General features: G+C 35.2%; 1 long non-coding RNA gene across 4 annotated transcripts in view; it reads left to right on the top strand.

The window, feature by feature from the left end:
- The window catches only part of LOC101929307 (uncharacterized), an 88,088-nt gene that overhangs the window by 20,970 nt on the left and 43,012 nt on the right, over positions 1–24,106 (top strand). Inside the window, exon 3 of one of the 4 annotated variants that reach the window (XR_007058685.1) lies at positions 11,747–11,848. The exons of 2 other annotated variants lie outside the window; for them this stretch is intronic. This is a non-coding gene — a long non-coding RNA (uncharacterized LOC101929307). Of the gene's footprint in view, positions 1–11,746; positions 13,930–24,106 lie in introns of those variants that run through there. One more of the 4 variants, XR_925771.3, reaches the window with a different exon arrangement.

The following is a 24,106-nucleotide window of genomic DNA, read 5'->3' as shown; positions in this document are numbered from 1 at the left end:
TTTACATATTTTTAGTCTATTCATTCAAAAGCAGTATAAATAAAGTGATAATTCTATCCTTTGTGTGTATTAGTAATATCATGTTTTGTGGTATAAAAATTTTGTAGCTTTAATAATAACAGAAAATTTCATGCCAAGTTCCTATGTTTTGTCCATATGATGATAAAACAACTATTTTTGCTTTCATTCTTAATTCTAGACAAAATATCAGCTTAACTTATTTTCATATTCCTCAATGTTTTCATTTTAACAGAGTAAGCCATTGTTTGTTGTTGGATGAATGATGTGAGCATAAAATTTTAAGTCATACTTTATTCAATATATGCAGGATCAAATTGAAGTCTTCAAGTAGAAATCAATGCATTTCATTTATCTTGTATAGCCAACTGTACAACAATGCAACACAATTAAAATAGATTATTAATTTATTTTAATTTGACATAATGTAATTGCAAAATTATTTGTATTTATATGAAAATAATTCCGTAATCATCTTATAAACTTTCCTTAACATTGCTGAATAATATAAGATGCATTGGGGCTAAATTTTGATTATTAAATTTAGATTTTCTATGTGTGTGCATATGTGTGTGTTCTTGTGTGTGTGTGTGTAAAAAGTGGGAGGGAAAGAATATAAAAAGAAAAGTGCTAATGGTAGTGCAAGGAAAAATAGATGAATTCACTGTGAGTTCATTCTCACATTTCTGTTAAGAAGTACCTGAGACTATCAAATTTATAAAGGCAGGTTTAATTGGCTCATGGTTCTGCAGGCTGTACAGGAAGCATACTGGCTTCTGCTTTTAGAGAGGCTTCAGGAAGCTTCCACGATAATGGCAGAAGCAAAAGGGGAGTGAGATGTCTCACATGGCAGGACCAGGAGCAAGAGAAAGAAATAGGGAGGTGCCATGCATTTTTTAACTAACTAGGTCTTATGAGACCTCACTCATAATCACAAGGACAGTACCAGGAGGATGGTTGTATTAGTTCATTCTCACACTGCTATAAAGAAACTATCGGATAATTTATTAAGGAAACAGGTTTAATTGACTCACAGTTCCACATGGCTGGGGAGGCCTCAGGAGAATTACTATCATAGTGAAAGGCCAAGGAGAAGCAAGGCACATCTTACATGGCAGCAGGAGAGAGAGAGAGAGGGCACAGGGAAAACTGCCACTTTAAAAACCATCAGATCTCGGTCAGACATGGTGGCCCAGCACTTTGGGAGATGGGTGGATCACCTGATGTCAGGAATTTGAGACCAGCCTGGCCAACGTGGTGAAACCCTATCTCTACTAAAAATACAAAAAATTGGCTGGGCGTGTTGATGGATGCCTGTAATCCCAGCTACTCCAGAACCTAAGGCAGGAGAATCACTTGAACCCAGGAGGTGGAGGCTGTAGTGAGCCGAGATGGCGCCATTGCACTCCAGCCTGGGCAACAAGAGTGAAACTCCATCTAAAAAAAAAACAAAAAACACACCAGCTCTTATGAGAACTCCCTCAGTGTCATGAAGTGTCATGAGAACAGCATGGGTGAAATTGTCCCCATGATCCAATCACCTCCCAACACATCCCTCACTTGACATGTGGGGATTACAGTTGCAGTTGGGATTTAGGTGGGAACACAGAGCCAAATCATACCAATGGTGCTAAACTATTCATGAGAAACTGTCCCTGTGATCCAATCACCTCCCACCAGGCCCCACCTCCATGATTAGGAATCATAATTTGACATGGGATTTAGGCAGGGACACAGATCCAAATCATATCCACTATTATAGTTGGTGACTTAAATACTTCTGTATCAGAAATGATGGAATCCAGCCAGCAGGTAGAAAATCAGTAAATACATACTTGAATTCAAGAGCATCATCAATCAACTGGATTGACATCTATTTACTACTTCATTTAGGGTACACATTATTCTCAGGCTCACATGTAATATTCCCCTGTGATCATACTCTGCTCATAAAACATACAATAACACATTTAAGAGAATAGAAGTAATGTCCCCTTTTAGAGCACAATTGAATGACACACAAAATACATATCAGAAAAATAACTAAAAAAAATCTGCAAATACTTAGAGATTATACACAAGACTTTAAAAGAATACATGAATCAAAAGGAAAATTCAAGGGGTGGAGGAAGATGGTTTATGGGCACAAAAGAAAAGTTAGATAGAATGAATATAAGTTAATATTTGATTATACAACAGGATGTCTGCAGTCAATAATACTTTACTATACATTAAAATAACAGAGGATAATTGGATTGTTTGTAACAGAAAGAAAGGATAAATGCTTGAGGTAATGGATACTGCATTTACCCTAATGTGATAATTATGCATCATATGCCTTTAACAAAATATCTCACGTATTCTATAAATGCATACACCTACTATGTATCCACAAAAAATAAATTAAAATTAAAAAAATTGAGAATAATTTTAAAATATTTTAAATTGAATTAAAATAAAAATGTAACATCAAAATTTGTGGGATGCAGGAAAAGTAATGTTTAGAGAAAAATGTATAGCATTGAATGCACGTATTTTAAAAGAAACATAAAAAATAAATAATTTAATCTTTCTCCTTAGGAAGTGAAAAAAAAAAAGAAGAGCAAATTAAAACCAAAATGAGCAGAAGAAAAGAAAAATTAGAGCTGAAATCAATGAAATTAAAAACAGGAAACCAATAGAGAAAAACAACAAAACCAAAAGCTGGTTCTTGAAAAGGTTAATAAAATAAGCCTCTATTCAGGCTAACTAAATTACAAGCAGAGAAGTCACAAATTACCAATATCTTGAATAAAAAAGGGAACATTACCACAGATCCCTTGACATCAAAAATAATAATAAGTATTATGAACAAATTTATGCCAACAAATTTGATAAACTATAGGAAAGCAATCTTTTTTTGAAAGACATAATTTGCCAAACTCACACAAGAAGAAATAAACAATATAAATAGCCCATATCTCTTAAACAAATTATATAAATCATTAATAACTTTACAAAACAGAAAGCACCAGGCCCAGATGGGTTCATTGGTGAATTCTACCAGACATTTAAGAAATAAATTATACCAATTCTATACCAATTATAGCAAAACATAATAAAAGGGAATGCTCTCTAACTCATTCTATGAGGGCAGCATAGCCCTAATACCATCACCAGACAAAGACATTGAAAGAAATGAAAACTACATATTGGTAGCTCTTATAAACATAGATGAATGCAAAAAATAAATAAACTCAACAAAATATTGGCAAATTAAATTTAACATTATGTAAAAGGAATCACAGACCACAAACAAGTTGGTTTTATTTCAGGTATGCAAAGCTGGCTCAGCATTTGAAAATCGGTTATGTAATTCTTCATATAAACAATTAATAAAACTTATGTAATCACATTCATGGATTTGGAAAAATCATTTGAAAAACTCAACACTCATTTATGATTTAAAAAATAAAATCTCAGCAAATACAAATGGAGGAGAATTTCCTCTAATGGATAAAAAATATCTACAAAAACCCTACAGTTAATATTATACTTAATGGTGAGAAACTAGAATGTTTCTTTCAAAGTATTACTATGAGCAAGGCAAGAATGTCTCTTCTCACTATTACTTTTCAACATTATCCTGGAAGTTCTAGCTAATGCAATAAGACAAGAATAATAAATCAAAGGTCTGCAGCGTGAGAAGGAAAAAATACAACTCTCTTTGATTGCTGTATTAGTTTATTCTCAAATTGCTATAAAGAAATACTTGAGACTGAGTAATTTTTAAAGAAAAGAGGTTTAATTGGCTCATGGTTCTGCAAGCTATACAGAAAGTATAGCAACTTCTGCTTTTGGGGAGGCCTCAGGAAGATTTCAATCATGACAGAAGGCAAAGGGAACTCCGAACATGGCCAGAGCAGGAGGAAGAGATAGAAGCAGGAGGTGCTATACATTTTTAAACAGCCAGATTTCATGAGAACTCACTCACTGCTGTGAGGGCAGTACCAAGGGGGATGGTGCTGAATTATTTATGAGAAATTCACCTCCAAGATCCAATCACCTCTCACCAGGCCCCACCTCCAACACTGGGCACTACAATTTGACATGAGATTTGGTGGGGACACAGATCCAAAGCATATCACTTCCAGATGACATAACTGTCTATGGAGAAGATCTCAAAGATTTAATATAGTCAAGATGTCACTTGTTCCAAAATGGATATGTACATTCAGTGCAATCCCCATCAAAATTTTAGTAAGTTATTCTGTGGATATTGGCAGACTGATTCTAAAGTTTATATGGAGAGACAAAAGACTTCAAAGAGCCAACCGAATATTAGAGAAGAACAAAACTGGAAAACTGACACTACCTGACTTCAAGACTAAAATAATCAAAGCAGTGTAGTATTGGTGAATGAATACAAAAATAGATTAGTGGAACAGAACCAAGAGCCCAGAAATAGAGCTGTATAAATATAGTCAAATAGTCTTTGACAGAAAAGCAAAGGTGATACAATGAAGTAAAGATAGTGTTTTCAACCATTGATGCTGGAAAACTGGGCATTCACATGCCAAAAAGAAATCTAGACTCAGACCATAACAGTCTTCAAAATATTAACTTAAAATGGATCACAGACTTAAAGGTAAAACTCCTATAATATAGCATAGGAGATAATCTAGATGACCTTAGGTTAGGTAATGACTTTTCACATACAACACAAAAGGCATGATCCATGAAACAAATAATTGCTGAGCTGGATTTCATTAAAATTTAAAACTGCTCTGTGAGAAACAATGTCAAAATAATGAGAAAACAAATCATAGGATGTGGAGAAATACTTGAAAAAACATGTCAAATAAAGGGCTATTATACAAAGAACTCATAATATTCCACAATAAAAAAATGGGCAACCCAATTATAAAATGGCAAAAATACCTGAACAGACACCACACCAAAGGCAATATAAGATGATAAATAAACATATGAGAATATGTTTGATGTGATATGTCATTAGGGAGTAGCAATTTCAAACAAGAGACAGCTAACTGCACACCTATCAGAATGGCTAAAGTCCAAAACATTAATACCAAATTCTGGTGAAGATGTGGACCAGCATATGAGCAAACTCTCATATGTGGCTGATGGGAATTCAAAATGATATGGTCACTTAGGTTTGGTTTCTTAAAGAACTAAATATACCCTTACCATACGATCCAGTAATTGCTCTCCTTGTTATTTACCCGAACAACTTGAAAACTTTTATCAACATAAAAACTTGCTCACAGATGTTTATAGCACGTTTATTCAAAATTGCTCAAATTTGGAAACAACCAAATACCCTTCAGGAGGTGAATGAATAAATAAACTGTGGTATATCCAGACAATGCCATGTTATTCAGTGCTAAAAAGAAGTGAACTGTATGAAAAGATATAGAGAAACCTTAAATGTATGTTATTAAATGAAATAAGTTCATCTAAAAGGCTATATAATGTATGATAGCATTCTGGAAAAGGCAAACCTATGAGGCAGTAAAAAAGATGAGTGCTTTCCAAGGTTGAGGGTTAGAAGGGGATGAATAGGTGGAGCATAGAGGAGTTTTAGGACAGTGAAACTATTCTATGTGATACCACAACTGTGAATACATGTCATTAAAGATTTGTGAAAATTCATAGAATGTGAAAGAGTAAACTTGAATGTAAAGTATAAACATTTGTGTGATAATGATGTGTAAATACAAATTTATTGATTTTAACAAATGTAGTACTGTGATATAAGATGTTGATAGTGGGGGAGGCTGTAGGTGTTTGGGGCAGGGACTTCAGAAACTCTGTGCTTTCTACTTGATTTTGCTTTAAACTTAAAACTGCTCTGAAATGATCTCTATTAAAGAAAAATGAATCCTACTTGTCAAAAATAAGATAATTGGATTCTCTTGGTTGAAGGATACAAAGGATACCTTTTTTTCTTTTTTTTTTTTTAAGAGTGAGGATCTTTCTATGTTGCCCAGACTGGCTTCTAACACCTGGGCTCAAGCAACCCTACAGCTTCAGGCACCCAAGTAGCTGGGACTACAGGCATGTGCCACTGTGCCTGGCTCATGCCTCATTCTTATCCAGCTATTTCACACGTTTCCAATTAACAAACCATGTTAAAATTTTTGATTATATTACATTTTAACATGGTTCCACGTTACTGTGTAGAGTTTTATTCACCTTTTATATTTTACAAAATAATAAAATCACTAATATATTACCAATTTCATTAATAACTTATAGTTGTGCTTTTATTTAATTTTCAAAGGAGGAGAAATGACTTCTGTTACTATTTCTAGAACTACAGCCTAGACATGTGTGTCTTAAGAATAATTATACTAGTTATTTTATGTTGAGTGTAAATTGTGTGTCAGAGATAAAACATATTATCCATCAGTGTGCCCAGTTCTCATATTTGATCTGGTAGGTGTCTATTAATCTCATTCCCATTTTATAGTTGGCTATATGAAGGATTATAACAATTAATTTATTATTATATCTGGTGTTTTAGTCTGTTTTCACACTTGTATAAAGAACTACCCAAGACGGTGTAATTTTTGAAGAAGAGAGGTTGAATTGACTCACAGTTTTGCAGGCTATACAGGAAGCATGGCTAGAAGGCCTCAGGAAACTTATAATCATGGCAGAAGGTGAAGAGGAAGCAAGCACATCTTAGTTTGGCGGAGCAGGAAAGTGAGAGATGGAAGGGGGAAGTGTCGCACTTTTAAACAATCAGAGCACATGAGAACTCACTCACTGTCATGAAAACAGCAAGAAAGAAATCTGCCTCCATGATTCAATCACCTCCCACCAGGCCCCTCCTGTGATACTTGGGAACTTCAATATGACATGAGATTTGGGTGGGGACACATTGGCAAACCATATCATTCTGCCCCTGGACCCTCCAAAATTGTCATTTTCACGTTTCAAAACCAATCATGCCTTCCCAACAGTCCCCCAAATACGTAACTCATTCCAACAGTAACTCAAAAGTCCAAGTTTAGAGTCTCATCTGAGACAAGACAAATCCCTTTCGTCTATGAGCCATGGAAAGAAAACAATACTTCCAAGATACAATGGGGATACAAGAATTGGGTAAATGTTCCTGTTACAACAAGGATAAATTGGCCAAAACCAAGGGACTAAAGGCCCTATGCAAGCCCAAAACTCAGCAGGGTAGTCATTAAATCTTAAAACTCCAAAATAATCTCTCTTGACTCCATGTCTTACATCCAGGACATGCTGATACAAGAGGTGGGCTCCCAAGGCCTTGGGAAGCTCTGCCCCTGTGGCTCTGTAGGGTACAACCCCTGTGGCTGCTATCACAGATTGGTACTGAGTGCATGTGGTTTTTCTAGGTGCATGGTGCAAACTGTCAGTAGATCTACCATTCTGGGATCTGTAGGACCATGGACCTCTTCTCATAGCTCCAGTAGGCAATGTCCCAGTGGAGAGACTGTATGAGAACTCCAACCCCACATTACCTTTCTGCACTCCCCTAGTAGATATTTCCCATGAAAGCTGTGCCCTTGCAACAGGCTTCTGCTTGGACTTTGAGACATTTTCATACATCCTCTGAGATCTAGGTGGAGGTTCCCAAACCTCAGTTCTTACTTGCTGTGTACCCACAAGCCCAATACCATGTAGAAGCCACTACAGCTTGGGGCTTGTACCCTCTGAAGCCATAGCCCAAGGTTTACTTTCCTTTTGTTAACCATGGCTGGAGCTAGAGCAGCTGGGATGCAGGGTGCCACAAACCAAGGCTGCACAGAGCAGCAGGGCCCTGGGCCTGGGCCACACAACCATTTTTTTCTCCTAGGCCTCTGGGCCTCTGATGGGAGGGGCTGCCACGAAGATCTCTGAAATACCCTGGAGACCTTTTCCCCAATGTCTTGGCTATTAGTATTTGACTTCCCTTCAGTTTCAAAAATCTCTGCAGCCAGTTTGAATTTCGCCCCACAAAATGGGTTTTCCTTTTCTACTGCATGGTCATGTTGCAAAGTTTTCAAAACTTTTGTGCTCTGCTCCCTTTTTAAATATAAGTTTCAATTTCAGACCATCTTTTTGTTACATATATGAGCATATACTTTTAGAAGCAGCCAAGTCACCTCTTGAATGCTTTGCTGCTTAGAAATTTATTCCATCAGATACCCTAAATAATTTATCTCAAGTTCAAAGTTCCACAGATCTACGAGGCAAGGGCAAAATGCCACCACTCTCTTTGCTAAAGCCTAGCAGGAGTGACCCTTACTCCAGTTCCCAATAAGCGGTTCATCTCCATCTGAGACCACCTCAGCCTGGACTTCATTGTCCATATCACCATCAGCATTTTGGTCACAAGCATTCAACAAATCTCTAGGAAGTTCCAAACTTTCCCACATCTTCTCATATTCTTCTGAGTCCTCCAAACTTTTCCAGCCTCTGCCCATTAGCCTTTTTCAAAATCACTTCCACATTTTCAGGTATCTTTATAACAGTGCCCCTCTCTCCTGATACCAATTTTCTGTATTATTCCATTTTCACACTGCAATAAAAACTATGTGAGACTGGGTAATTTATGAAGAAAAGAGGTTTAATTGACTCATAGTTCTGCAGGCTCTTCAGGAAGCATGTCTAGGAGGCCTCAGGAATCTTACAGTCATGGTGGGAGGAAAAGAGGAAGGAAGTATGTCTCAACATGGTGGAGCAGGAGAAAGAGAGAGAGAAAGTGAAGGGGAAAGTGCCACACTTTTAAACCATCAGATCTGGTGAAAATTCACTCACTATCATGAGAACAGCAAGGTGATAATCCTCCCCCATGATTCAATCACCTCGCACCATGTCCTTCCTCCTATATATGGGAATTATATTTCAGGATGAAATCTAGGTGGGGACAGAGCCAAACCATATCATCTAGTAAGAAAGAAAATATGATTCAGACATAGAACTCTTGCTTTCCTATATCCAACTCGTCACACTAATTAAATCTGCTTCTATTTTTACATTTGATTATGATCAAACTAGAATATGATTACAAAGGCAATGCAGTAAAATCTTTCTGAGTAAGTCCTGTGTGATCATGTTCTTGTTCCCCCTTAACATTCTCATCATCCCCCTGAGGTTTTTGAAGCAAGCTGCTATTGCTTTGAAGAGTTGTCTGAAAGCTAAGTGGATGCTGCCATCCACATGCCTGAGGAACAGCCCTGAGCATGATCTGTGCTTGGTTGCTGCAGGAAAGAGCTGCTCTTGATCTTCCCTGAGGGGTACTTCCCTGCTGGTCAGTATCTTGAATTCTATTAATATGCAAATTGAAGCTTCACCTCCAGCCAAGATGTAATAGTAAGAATAGGATATATTATTTTCCCAAAAGTGTAAAAAAATGCAGAAATATATTTAATAATGGATTTCAAGAAGCAGCAAAGGAGACGGACGGATCACAAGAGACAGAAAACAAATGAAGTAAAAACTACAAATCACTCCAATTTACTGCCTTTGAGTTTCCAAGACAGAGCGTGGAGAGAGGGAAGGTGGACAGAACCTAGCAGATTTCCTTAGTTGAAGAGACAACTGAGAATCTAGGGAGACCAAGATAGCTAGAGTTTGCAAAACTCTAGAGGCCTAGAGGGAAGGGAACTGCAGAAAGAGATGAATCTGAAGTTCTTTAAAGGACCTATTCCATAGAGTACTGGGGAGCACATAAAGGTGGAGCAACTACTCGAAGCTGGGACTTAGACCAAAAATTCCCTAATCTCACCTAACATATAAAAGCAAGATCTGACAGGGTCACTAATTCTTTCAGTGGCCAGAGAAAATGAAAAGATGGCCTTGACCCTGGGGAAGACTGTAGAAGAAACATATTTAGGTAAAAATCAGAAAGTTAGTATTGAAAGTCTAAGTATCCAATAGGTATATTAGCAGCAGTGAGTCTGTATGGGTCTGCAGTAACCTCAATTCTTGCCTCCTCAGAAGAGAGAATTTGACTGCAGGGCATATGGCAGAGTGAGAGACTGATGCAAGTTTTAAAGAGTGGAAGTTTATTAAAAAGTTTTAGAGAAGAAATGGAGGGAAGTACACTTGGAAGAGGGCCAAGAGGGTGACTTGAGAGATTCATGTGCGGTTTGACATTTGACTTGGGGTTTTATATGCTGGCATGTTTCCAGGAAGTTGCATCTCTTCTCCCCTGATTCTTTCCCTGGGGTGGGCTGTCTGCATGTGCAGTGGCCTACCAGCACACGGGAGGGGCTGCATGCCCAATGTGTTTGCTGAAGTTGTATGCGTGCTTACTTGAGATGTTTTCTTTTATCAGTTGAGTGTCACCAGTTAAACTCTGCCATTTCACCTCTTAGTGCACATGCTTGAGCCCACTCACCTAACTCCTGAGATCTTATCAGGAGCTGCTGATCATCAGTTTTAGGTTTCTTTTTTTTTTTTTAATCTTTTGGGCGACTTCCTTTCCCTGGCACCAGTTGTGACCAATTATTATTCTAGACAGATAGTTTAACAACCGACTGACCATCACCTGATGGTCTCCTTACATTCCTGGTGGGGTGGGAGATGGAGGACTCTTTTGCCTTGCTTATGTCTGACTACCTACCTGCTGTAACAGTTAGACATCTAAGTGGATCTCTTAAATAGGCAATCTGATACCTAAGAGGGGGAGTTCCGTGAAGAGATGTGAATTTGGGTTTCATTTTAAATGTTGACTCTGCAGAAAGCCTTCTCAGGCTATTTTAGCTAAAACCCTTCATTTCCATAAATCTCTGGGATAATTTCCTTTTTGTTTTCATTATGCTCACTAGTTAATCTCATCAGTTATGCTTGTATTTGTTTGTTTGTGTTATCTCTCTCCAACTGTGATGTGAACCCCATTAAGTAGAATCTGGTGTTCATTCCTTTATCCAACTTCTATTTTAGAATCAGGTGGTACATGTGCAGATTTGTTACAAAGGGATATAGTGTGATGCTTAAGTTTGGGATCTGATTGAACCTGTCACCCAGGTAGTAAGCATAATAACCAATAGGTAGTTTACAGCCTTTTCTCTCCTCCCTCTCCCCATTCTATTAGTCCCAAGTATCTGTTGTTTCCATCTTTATTTCCATGTGTACTCAATGTTTAGTGCCCACTTACAAGCGAAAGTAATGTGATATTTGGTTTTCTGTTTTTGCACTAGTTCATATAGGAAGTTGGTCTCCAGCTGCACCCATGTTGTTGCGAAGGAGATAATTTCATTTTTTTTATTACTGCATAGTATTCCATTATGTATATGTGCCACATTTTCTTTATCCAGTCCACCACTGATGAGCAGCTTGGTTAGTTCCATGTTTTCGCTATTATAAATAGTGGTATGATGACCATATGGGTGCATATGCTTTTGGTAGAATGATTTATTTTCCTTTGGGTATGTACCCAGTAATGTGTTTGCTGAGTCAAATAGTAGTTCAACTCTTAGTCTTTGAGAATTTTCCAAACTGCTTTCCACAGTGGCTGGAACAATTTATATTTCCACCAACACCGTATAAGGATTCCCTTTTCTCTGCAGCCTCGCCAACATTTGTTATTTTTTGACTTTTCAACAAAAGCCACCTGACTGGTGCCAGATGGTATCTCATAGTTTTGATTTGCATTTCTTTAATGATTAGTGATAATGAGCATTTTTGAACATATTTGCTGGCTGCTAGTACGTCTTCTATTGAGAAGTGTCTGTTTATGTTCTTCAATCTGTTTTCAAAGATTTTATACACGTGTCCTGGAAAAGTGCTGGCCACAAAGGAGATGCCTGATAAAGACTGTGGAAAAAAATATCTGAACATACAGTCATAAAAAAGAAGAGAGGTATGTCAGCTAATGTTAATGATGTTGGAATTATCAACACACAGATGGTAACTTGCTATTTTGAAAGGATGAATTTCCTCTGAAAATGAGATGAAAATAGAGTCCATGCAGAGTTCTGAGAATATCATCATTTAAGTAATGCACAGACGAAGGCGATAATACACTAAACAGCCCTTAAGCAGGATAAATAAAATAAATTCATCACCTTGGGCACAAAATAGTTAAATTCACGTAAACCAAAGATAAAATGAAACACTAGAAAGTAAAAAGAAATAAGATGACACATTACATACAGAGGAATGAAGATATGAAAGGCAGCTAATAGCACATTAAAAACAATGCAAACATTGTCAGCAGAACAAATCTTCTCCAAGAAATGTTAAAAGTAATTCCATCAGGCTGAAGTAAAGTAAAGGTAGTTAAAAAACCTAAATTTTCAGGAAGGCATGAATAACACTGGCAATAGGAAAATATGATACACAGAAAAGTAATCTTTTTTATTTTTTTAAAACACATGACTATACAAAACTATGACATTGTATTTGAATTTAATATGATATGAATATATAATGCATATATATCAATTATAGCATAAAAATTCATGCATGCCAAAATGAAATCTTGGTGTTTCTAGGCTGGTTCTATAGGAAGGGCTACAAAATGAACTCTAAGTAGTCTGTGAAGAATCAAGGATGTATTTTGTAATCCCAAGAAGAATCACTACAAAATAGCATGCAAAGATTTATGGCTAAACTGTCAATGGTTATTCATGCCTTATACCACATAAAAATGTACTCAAAGTGAATTAGAGATCTAAATGTAGAACCTAAAACTTCAAAATTTCTGGAATAAAATAGAAAAACCATGTTGATGACTTAGAGTCAACCAAAGAATCCTTAAATACAATGTAATATGGATGGATCACAAAAGCAAAAAAATAGGTATCACCAAAATTTAAAAATGCCCACAAAAGAAATAAATAAAAGGCATCCAAGTTGGTAAAGAGGAAATCAAACTGCCTCTGTTTGCCAATGATATAATCATATACCTAGAAAACCCTAAATATTCATCAAAAAATCTCCTAGATCTGATAAGTGAATTAAGTAAAGTTTCAGGATACAAAATCAATTTACACAAATCAGTAGCACTGCTATACACCAAAAACGACTAAGCTGAGAAAAATATCAAGAACAAATCCCCTTTACAACAGCTGCAAAATAAAAATAAAATACTTATAAATATACCTAACAAAGGAGGTGAAAGGTCTCTACAAGGGAAACTAGAAAACACAATCATCAGCGACACAAACAAATGGAAACATAACCCATGCTCATGGATAGGTAGAATCAATATTGTCAAAGTGACCATACTGCCAAAAGCAATCTATGGATTCAATGCAATTCTTATCAAAGAGCCATCATCATTCTTGACAACTAGAAAAAAAAAACAATCCTAATATTTATACGGAACCAAAAAAGACTGTATAGCCAAATCAAACTAAGCACAAATGACAAATCTGAAGGCATCACATTACCTGACTTCAAACTATACTATAAGGCTATAGTAACCAAAACAGCATGATACTGGCATGAAAATAGGATAGACCAATGGATCAGAATAGAGAACCCAGAAATAAAGCCAAATACCTACAGAAAACTGATTTTCAACAAACCAAACAAAAACAGTGGGGAAAGGACACCTTATTCAACAAATGATGCTGGGATAATTGGCAAGCCACATGCAGGAGAGTGAAACTAGATCCTCATTTCTCACCTTATTAAAAAAAATCAACTGAAGATGGTTCAAATACTTAAATCTAAGACTTGAAACTATAAAAATTCTAAAAGATAACATTGGAAAAACTCTTCTAGACATTGGCTTAGGCAAAGAATTCATGACCATTAACCCAAATGCAAATACAACAAAAACAAAAATAAAGAGATGAGAAGTAATTAAACTAAAAATCTTCTGCCCAGAAAATAAAATAATCAACAAAGTAAACAGTCAACCCCCAGAGTGGGGGAAAATCTTCACAAACTATGCATCCAATAAGGGACTAATATCCAGAATCTACAAGAAAATCAAACAAATCAGCAAGAAAAGAAACCCAAATAATCCCATCAAAAACTGGCTAAGGACATGAATAGACAATTTTCAAAGGAAGATATAAAAATGGCAAACATATACAAAAGCGTTTAACATCTCTAATGGTCAGGGAAATGCAAATCAAAACCACAATGCAATACCACCTTACCACTGCAAGAATGGCCAGAATTTAAAAATAAAAAATTAATAGATGTTGGTGTGGATATGGTTAAAAGGGAACACTTTTACACTGCGGGTGGGAATGTAAACTAGTACAACCACTATGAAAAACAGTATGGAAATTCCTTAAAGAACTAAAAGTAGAGCTATCATTTGATCCAGCAATCCCACTCCTGGATATCTACCTAGAGGAAAATAAGTAATTATATAAAAAAAACACTTGCACAGGCATGTTTATAGCAGCACAATTTGCAATTGCAAAAATATAAAACCAGCCTAAATTCTCATTAACCAATGAGCAGATAAAGGAAATTTGGCACACATATACCATGAATACTACTCAGCCATAAAAAGGAACAAAATAATGGCATTCACAGCAACCTGAATAGAGTTAGAGACCATTATTTTGAGTGAAGTGACTCAGGAATGGAAAACTAAACATCATATGTTCTCAATTATAATTGGTAGCTAAGCTAAAAGGACACAAACACATAAGAATAATACAATGGACTTTGGTGACTTGGAAAGAAGGGTGGGGGTGTGAGGGATAAAAGTCTAAACATTGGGTACAGTGTACACTGGGTGTACACCAAAATCTCAGAAATCCCCACTGAAAACTTATCTGTGTAACCAAACACCACCTCTTCCCCAAAAACCTATTGAAATAAAAAAAATCCCTAAAAATAAAAAAGATGGCATAGTCCATACTTGCCTATAACCTATGCAGCACATTCTTCTGTATACCTTACATCATCTTTAGATTACTAAAAATACTTAATACAATGTAAATACTAGGTTGCAATTTGTATGCTTTATATTTATTTATATCATTTGTTGTTGTATTTTTATTTTTATTGTTTCTTTTCAAATATTTTTGATTCACGATTGGTTGAATCTGCAGATGCAAAACGCACAAATACAAAGGGCCAACTGTATTACAAACTGTACATCTGATAAGGGCCTAATATCTAAAATACAGAAGGAAAATAACTCAATAACAATAAAACAAACAACACAATTTAGAAATAGACAAAGGATCTGAATAGACATTTCTTAACAGAAGAGATACTAATGGCCAACAGATACATAAAAAGATGGTCAACATTTCTAATAATCAGGGAAATACAAATTAAAATCACAATGAAATATCATCTCACACCTGTTAAAATGGCTATTGTCAAAAATAGATTGTGTAGGTGAGGATGTGGAGAAAAGGGAACACTTGTACAGTGATAATGTAAATCAGTACAGCCACCTTGGAAAATAGTAAGAAGGTTCCTTAAAAAAATTACAATTGAATTACCGTATGATCAAACAATTCCACTTCTGGGTATATATTTGAAATGAAATCAGTATGTCAAAGAGAGGTCTTCAAATCCCATGTCCATTTCAGCAGCACTAGCCAAGATATGGAAGTAAGTCCATTAATAGATGAAAGAATAACGAAATGTGGCATGTATGCATAAGAATACTACTCAGCCTTTAAAAAGAAGGAAATTCTGTCATTTGTGACAATATGAATGTAACTGGAGGACATTATGCAAGCGAAACAAGCCAGGCACAGAAAAACGCATTCTGTATGATGTCACTTATGTGGAATGTAAAACAGTTGATCTCATTGAAACAGAATAGAAAGATGGTTACATGCAGTTGGGAACAGTGAGAGGAATAGCAAAAGTGAAGATGTTGTTTAAATGGTGGAAAGATTCAGTTTGACTGGAAGAATAAATTTTAGTGATTTATTTCATGGAATGGTGGCCACAGTTAATAATAATGTATTGTATAATTCAAAATTCCTAAAATAGATTTTTAACATTCTCATCACAAAGAAAGATAAATTGGTGAACTGATGAAATTGCCAATTATCTTGATTTAATGTTTCTAAATGTACGTATAGATCAAAACATCATGTTGTATCCCATAAATGTACAAAATTATTTTTTGTCAAGTGAGAAAAAGAGAATGTTAATTGGAAGGTAATTCGGAAATATGTTTTGGAAGTATAATTGCATATGTACTTTGATATATCAAATTCTATATGTGAAGCATTCTGTCAAAATTCTTGCACACGTGTATTAATAAAATGATATATTGCAACTATTCTCAATAAAGTACTGCTTGTGACAGCAAAATGTGGGAGCCAACCTAAATATTCTTAGCAGTACTGTCTGAGTAAACAGATTATACTCATAAAACAGAGCCATAATAAAATCACATTTCATTGTATACTCCTTTATATTTTGTGAATTTTAAATTTTGTGAACTTTTTGCTCAGGCAAAAAAAAAAAAAAGAATTATAAACTAATGAGCCAGTTTCCTCCAAGAATAAAAATAGAAATATATCTAATTTTGTAGCAAAATCCATTAATATTGGCATCATTTTAACTTCAAACATATTTTACTCAACACATATGAGATAGAATGTAAAGTCATTGTTTTGAAAAACATTTCCAATTGGTGTTAATATTATTACTCTGGGAAACGAGAGTAATTACAGAACCTCAAAATGGTCAGCAAACTATTACAATATCAGTTTCTTCATATGTTTTCCAGCGTTTAATTTTGCCATTGGGAGGGTATTAGATTTGCTCTTAGAATTGTGCAGCAATATTTCATGTGGTAATCTACATTTCCCTAATGAATAATTATGTTAAATGACTTTTTGTTTATTACCTATACCAATGTTTAATTTTCAGTTTTGTTTTTGCTCTTTTGTCTGTTTTGTTTGCAATTTGGAACATTTCTTCATCAGGAATATGTTTTAAAAATATTGTCCCTCTGTATATGGTTGGGTTTTTTGGTTTTCATTTTCCTAAGTCTATTTTCAAAGAGCAGGCATTAAATTATTTTTTCAATAGTTTTGGGGGAACAGGTGGGTTTTTGTTACATAGGAAGTTCTTTAGTGCTAATTTCTGAGAGTTTGGTGCACCCATCACCTGAACAGTGTACATTGTACCCAGTGTGTAGTCTTTTATCCCTCACTCCCCTAGCCTGCCCTCTCTGGAGTCCCCAGAGTCCATTATATCATTCTCGTGCCTTTGTATACTCATAGCTTAGTTCCCACTTATAAGTGAGAAGATACGATGTTTAGTTTTTTATTCCTGAGTTACCTAACTAAACACTCAGAATAATGGTCTCCAACCATTCTGGGTTCTGTAGGGTAGTGACCATCTTATCACAGCTCCACTAGGAAGTGACCCAGTAGGGCAATCTATGTGGGGGCTTCAATCCCACATTTCCCTTCTGCACTTCCCTAGCAGAGGTTGTCCATGAGGGTCATGCCTCTGCAGCAAACTTCTACCTGGACATCCAGGCATTTCCAAACATCCTCTGAAATCTAGGTGAGGCTTCCCAAACATCAATTCTTGACTTCTGTGCACCTATATAGCTCAACACCATATGGAAGCTTCCAAGGCTTGGAGCTTGCACCCCATGATGCCACAGCCTGTGCTGTACCTTGGTCACTTATATCCATGGGTAAAGTGGGAGGGATGCAGGGCACCAAGTCCCTAGGCTGCAAACAGAAGGGAGACCCTGGGCCAGGCTCACAAAACCATTTTTTCCTCCTAGGCCTCTGGGCCTGTTGTGGGAGGGGCTGCCACAAAGATCTCTGAGAGGCCCTGGAGACATTTTCCCCATTGTCTTAGGAGTTGACATTTGGCTTCTTATCAACATATACAAATTTCTGCAGCAGGCTTGAATTTGTTGTCAGAAAATGGGTTTTTCTTTTCTGTCTCATAGTCAGGCTATAAATTTTCTGGACTTTTGTACTCTTTCCCCTTTCAAAACTGAATACTTTTGACAGCACCCAAGTCACCTTTTGAATGCTTTGCTGCTTAGACATTTGTTCTGTCAGATACCCAAATCATCTCTCTCACGTTCAAAGTTCCACGGATCTCTAGGGCAGTGGCAAAATGCTGCCAGTCTCTTTGCATAGCAAGAGTGACCTTACTCCTGTTCCCAACAACCTCCTCATCTCTATCTGAGACCACCTCAATCTGGATTTTATTGCCCATATTACTATCAGCATTTTGGTTACAGCCATTTAACAAATCTCTAGGAAGTTCTAAACTTCTCCACATCTTCCTGTCTTGTGAGTACTCCATGTCTCTAGAAAGTTCCAAACTTTCCCACATTTTTCCATCGTCTTCTCAGCCCTCCAAACTCTTCCAACCTCTACCTGTTACCCAGTTCCAAAGTTGCTTCCACATTTTCAGGTATCTTTAAAGTAGCACCCCACTCCCAGTACCAATTTACTGTATTTGTCTGTTTTCATCCTGCTGATAAAAACATACCTGATCCTGGGTAATTTATAAAGAACAAGAGGCTTAATGGACTCACAGTTTTGCATGATTGGAGAGGACTCACAATCATGACAGAAGGCAAAAGGCATATCTTACATGGTGGCAGGCAAGAAGCTTGTGTGGGGGAACTCCTAAGTATAAAACCATCAGATCTCATGAGTCTTATGCACTACCATGACAACAGTATGGGAAAAACTACCCCCATTCAGTTGTCTCTACCTGGCCCCCTTGACACATGGGGATTATTACAATTCAAGGTAAGATTTGGGTGGGGACACAGCCAAACCATATTACTAAGTATTTTATTATTATTATTTGCAGCTGTTGTAAAAGAGGTTGAGTTCTTGATTTTTTTTTTCTCAGCTTGGTTGCTATTGGTGTATAGCAGTGCTAATAATTTGTGTAAATTGGTTTCCTATCCTGAAACTTTACTGAATTTATTCATCAGATCTAGGAGCTTCTTTGATGAGTCTTTAGGGTTTTGTAGATATATGATTGTATCATTGGTAAACAGTGATTGTTTGACACCTTCTTTATCCATTTGGATGCCTTTTCTTTCATGCTCTTCTCTGATTGCTCTGGCTAGGACTTCCAGTACTATGTTGAATAGAAGTGGTGAAAGTGGGCATCTTTGTTTGGTTCCAGTTCTCAGGGGAAATGTTTGCAACTTTTCCCAATTCAGTACAATGTTAGTTGTAGTTTTGTCATAGATGGCTTTTATTACCCTAAGGTGTGTCCCTTCTATGCCAGTTTTACTGAGGATTTTAATTAAAAAGGGATGCTGGATTTTGTCAAATGCTTTTTCTGGATAAAAACTCTAGTGAAACAAAAAAAAAAATCACACTCCTAAACATATATGCACTTAATGCTAGGCCTTTCAAATTTATAAAACAAATATTACTAGACTGTATAAATGACATAAACGGCAACACAATATTAGTGGGGGACTTCAGTACTCCACTGACAGCGCTAGACAGGTCATCAAGACAGAAAATCACCAAAGAAACAATATACTTAAATTATGCCCTAGAACAAATGGACTTAACAGATATTTACAGAACATTGTACCCAACAACTGCAGAATATATATTCTACTCATCAGCACAAGGAACATTCTCCAAGATAGACAATATGATAAGCCACAAAACAAGCCTCAATAAATGTAAGGAAATGTAAATTTTATCAAATACTCTCTCAGACCACAGTGGAATAACATTGGAAATCAACTCTCAAAGGTACCCTCAAAACCATACAAATACATGGAAATTAAATAACCTGCTACTGAATGATCAATGGATCAACAATGAAATCAAGATGGAAATTTAAAAATTATTTTAACTGATGGATAATTGTGACACAACCTATGAAAACCTCTGGGATTCAGCAAAAGCAGTGCTAAGAGGAAAGTTCATAGCATTAAATGCCTACATCAAAAAGTCTGAAAGACCACAAATAGATAATCTAGTGTCACATTTCAAGAAATTAGAGAAAGAAGAACAAACCAAACCGAAACCAAGTAGAAGAAAAGAATAACAAAGACCAGAGCAGAACTAAATAAAATTTAAACAAAAAAATACAAAATGTGAATGAAACAAAAAGCTGGTTCTTCAAAAATATAATAAAAATTAATCGACTATTAGTGAGATTAACCAAGAAAAGAAGAGAGAGGATTGAAATAAGTTCAATTAGAAACAAAATGGAAGATATTACGTCTGATACTACAGAAATACAGAAGATCATTTAAGGATACCATGAACACCTTTATGTGCATAAACTAAAAAACCTAGAGAAGAGGGATAAATTCCTGGAAATATACCACCTTCCTTGATTAAGCCAGGAAGAAATAGAAACTTTGTACAGACCAGTAACAAACAGTGAGATTGAAATGGTAACCAAAAAAAATTCCAACAAAAAAAGGTCTAGAACCAGATGGACTCACAGCAGAATTTTATCAGACACTTAATGAAGAATTGGTACTGATCCTATTTAAAATATTACAAAAGATAAAGAATTGCTCCCTAAATCATTCCATGAAGTCAGTATCACCCTAATTCAAAATCAGAAAAGTACATAACAAAAAAAGAAAACCACAAATATTCCTAATGAACATAGATGCAAAAATCCTCAACAAAATATTACCTTACTGAATTCAACAGCATATCAAAAAGATAATTCACCATGATCAAGTGGGTTTCATAACAGGAATGCAGGGATGGGTTAACATACGCAAATCAATAGATTTGATACACCACATAAACAAAATTAAATATTATTCCATTTTATATATTAGACTTGAGCATCAGTGGATTTTGATATCAGCAGTAGGTCCCGGAACTGAGGAAATGCTGAAGTTTCAGTATTTTCTCCCAATCTGTGGGTTTTCTCTCAGTCTGTTAGTTGTTTCTTTTGTTGTGCAGAATATTTTTACTTGGATGCAATCCCATTTGTCTAATTTTGCTTTTGTTGCTGTCCTTTAGGAGTCCTATTCAAAAACACCATTGCCGAAACCCAAGTTGTGGAGTTTTTCCACTGTTTTCTTGTAGTAGCTTTACAGTTTTAGGGCCTTACACTGAAGTATTTTACCTATTTTGAGTTGAATTTTTATATGTTGTAAGCTAAGGGTCCAATTTTATTTTTCTGCATGTGGATATCCAGTTGTCTCAACATCCATTTATGTATTCTTTTTCCATTGTGTATTCCTGAAACTTTTGTTGAAAATCAATAGACTGTAATTACTTGGATTTTTTTTCTGAGCTTTCTATTCTGTTCCATTGGTTGATGTGTCTGTTTTTATACCAGTTCCATACTCTTTTGATCACAGTAGCTTTGTAATATATTTTGAAATCAGAGAGTGTGATGATTCTAACTTTTTTCTTTTTTCCAATAATTGATTTGTCTATTTGGGGTCTTTTCTTTTTCTATACATGTTTTAGGATTTTTCTTCTATTTCTATGAAGAATGTCATTGGCATGTTTAAATAGTGACTTATTAAAACTGTAGATTGCTTTGGATAGTATGAACATTTTGGGGGTATTAATTCTTCCAGTCCATGAACATGGGATATCTTTTGATGTATTTGTCTTCTTCAATTTATTTCCACAAAGTTTTATTGTTGTGGTGCACAGATCTTTCACTCTTGGATTAAATTTAATTCTATGTATTTTTTAGTGCTATTGTAAATGAGATTGTTTTATTAATTTCTTTTCAGATAGTTTATTATTAGTGTATAGACATGGTACTAATTTTTGTATGTGAATTTTGTAAACTGCAACATTGCTGAATTAGTTTATGCATTCTAACAGGTTTTTAGTGGAGTCTTTAGGGTTTTCTGGGTATAAGATCATGACATTAGCAAAAAACCTTTCATTTCTTCCTTTCCTATATGGATGCTCTTTCTTTTCTTCTCTTTTCCTTTCATTTCTCTTTTCTTTTCATCTTTCTGTCTTTTCTTTCTCTCTTTCTTTCTTTCTTTTCTTTTTTCTTTCTTTTTCTTTATTTCTTTCTTTCTTCTTTTTCTTTCTTTGTTTCTCCTTCCTGCCTTTCTTTCTCCTCCCTCCCTCCCTCTTCTTTCTTTCTTTCTTTCTTTCTTTCTTTCTTTCTTTCTTTCTTTCTTTCTTTCTTTCTTTCTTCTTTTTCTCTTTCTTCCTCCCTCCCTCTCTTTCTTTCTTTTTCTTTCTTTCTTTCTTTTTCTGCCTTTGTTTCTTTCTTCCTTTCTTTCTCTTTCTGTTTCTTTCCCTCCCTCCCTCCATCACTTCCTTCCTTCCTTTCTTTCCTCTTCTGTCGCCTAATTGCTTACACAAGGACTTTTACTACTATGTTTAAAAAAATAACAAGAATGAATATTCTTGTCAAGTCTCTGATCTCAGAGGAAAAGCTTTCAAATTTTTCCTCATTCAGTAGGCTGTTAATTGTGCACTTGTTATAAGTGGCCTTTAGTGTGTTGAGACACATTCCCTCTATATCCATTTTTTGAGAGCTTTTGATATGAATGGATATTGAATTTTGTTAATTTTTTTCTGTATCTATTGAAATGATCGTGTGGTTTTTGCCCTTCAGTTGGTGAATATAGTATATCACATTGATTTACATATGTTAAGTTAATCTTGCATCCCTCACATATCATTGATCATGATAACTAATTTTTTATGTGACATGGAGTTCAGGTTTCTGTTATTTTGCATCTGTGTTCATCAGAAAAATTGACCTTTCTTTGTTAGTCTAGCTAAATGTTTGCTGATTTTATCTTTTTGAAAAAAACTTTGGTTTTTAAAATACTTCCTGTTATTTTTCTAGACTTGATTTTATTTCTGCCTTCTTTGTTATTTCCTTTATTCTGCTAAACTTGGGCTTACGTTTTTCTGTCTTTTCTAGTTTTTTGAGGTGTAACATTAGGTTGTTTATTTGAGATCTTTCTCTTTTGTTGTTGTAGCCATTTTATTGCTATAAACTTTCCTCTTAGTAGTGCTTTTGCTACATCCAATAGGTTTTGGTAAGGTATGTTTCCATTTTTGTGCATCTCAAGATAATTTTAATTTTTTTTTTAAAATCATTCTCTCACTCTTTGGTTGTTCAGTAGCATGATGTTTAATTTCCAAATATTTGTGAGTTCTCCAAGATTGCTGTCATTATTGATTTTTGATTTTGTGCCAGTGAGGTCAGAAAAGATACTCAATATGATTCAATTCTTACTACATGTACTAAAAATGGTTTTGTGACTTAAGTTGTAATATATCTTGAAGAATGTTTTGTGTCAACTTTAGAAGAAGGTATATTTTGTTGCTGTTAGATGAAATGTTCTGTAAATATCTTTTAAGTATATATGTTATAAAGTGTAGTTCAAGTGTAATGTTTCCTTATTAATTTTATGTCTAAATTTTCTGTCTAATGTTGAAGTGGGATATTGAAATATCTTACTATTATAGTATTACAGTCTATCTCTCCCTTCAGATTTATTAGTATTTGCTTAATGAATTTAGGTGTTCTTATGTTAGGTACATACGTATTTGCAATTACTATATCTCCTTGATAAATTGACCATGTTATCATAAAATAATGACTTTCTTTTTCTCTTTTTACAGTTTTTGACTTAATGTATATTTTATTTGTTATACATATTGTTACACACACCATTTGTTTTTTATTTCTGTGGGATATCTTTTTCCATTTATTTACCTTTAGTCTATGTGTGTTATTAGAAGTGAAGTGAGTCTTATAGATAGCATACAATTGGATTTTCTTTTAATTTATTCAGCCACTTGCTGCCTTTTGTTGGGTAATTAAATTCATTTACATTTAAAGTAATTGTTAATAGGTAAGGACTTACTATTGAAATTTTAAATATTGTTTTCTGGTTAATTTTTAGATCCTTTGTTTTTCTTGCTTTCTTATTTTGTGCTTTAATTATTTTCTTTACTGATAGTATTTGAATTATTTGTTTTAATCCTTTGTGTATATATAAACAAACATTTTTGCTTTGTGGTTTCCATGAGGCTTGCATAAAAAATCTTATACTAATAAAAGGCTGTATTAAGCTGATAATGACTTAACTTTTATCACCTGCGAGAAGTCTACACTTTTGCTCCCCTTGCCCCACAATTTGTTTTGTTTGCAAATTTTATATGTTTTATACTTTGTGCCGCTAAGAAATTATTGTAGCTATAGTTGTTTTCACCAGTGAGTTTTGTATTTT

Source organism: Homo sapiens, chromosome 5 (genome assembly GCF_000001405.40).
Source record: "Homo sapiens chromosome 5, GRCh38.p14 Primary Assembly".
NCBI lineage: Eukaryota > Metazoa > Chordata > Mammalia > Primates > Hominidae > Homo > Homo sapiens.
This window is presented reverse-complemented; position numbering and strand designations above follow the sequence as displayed.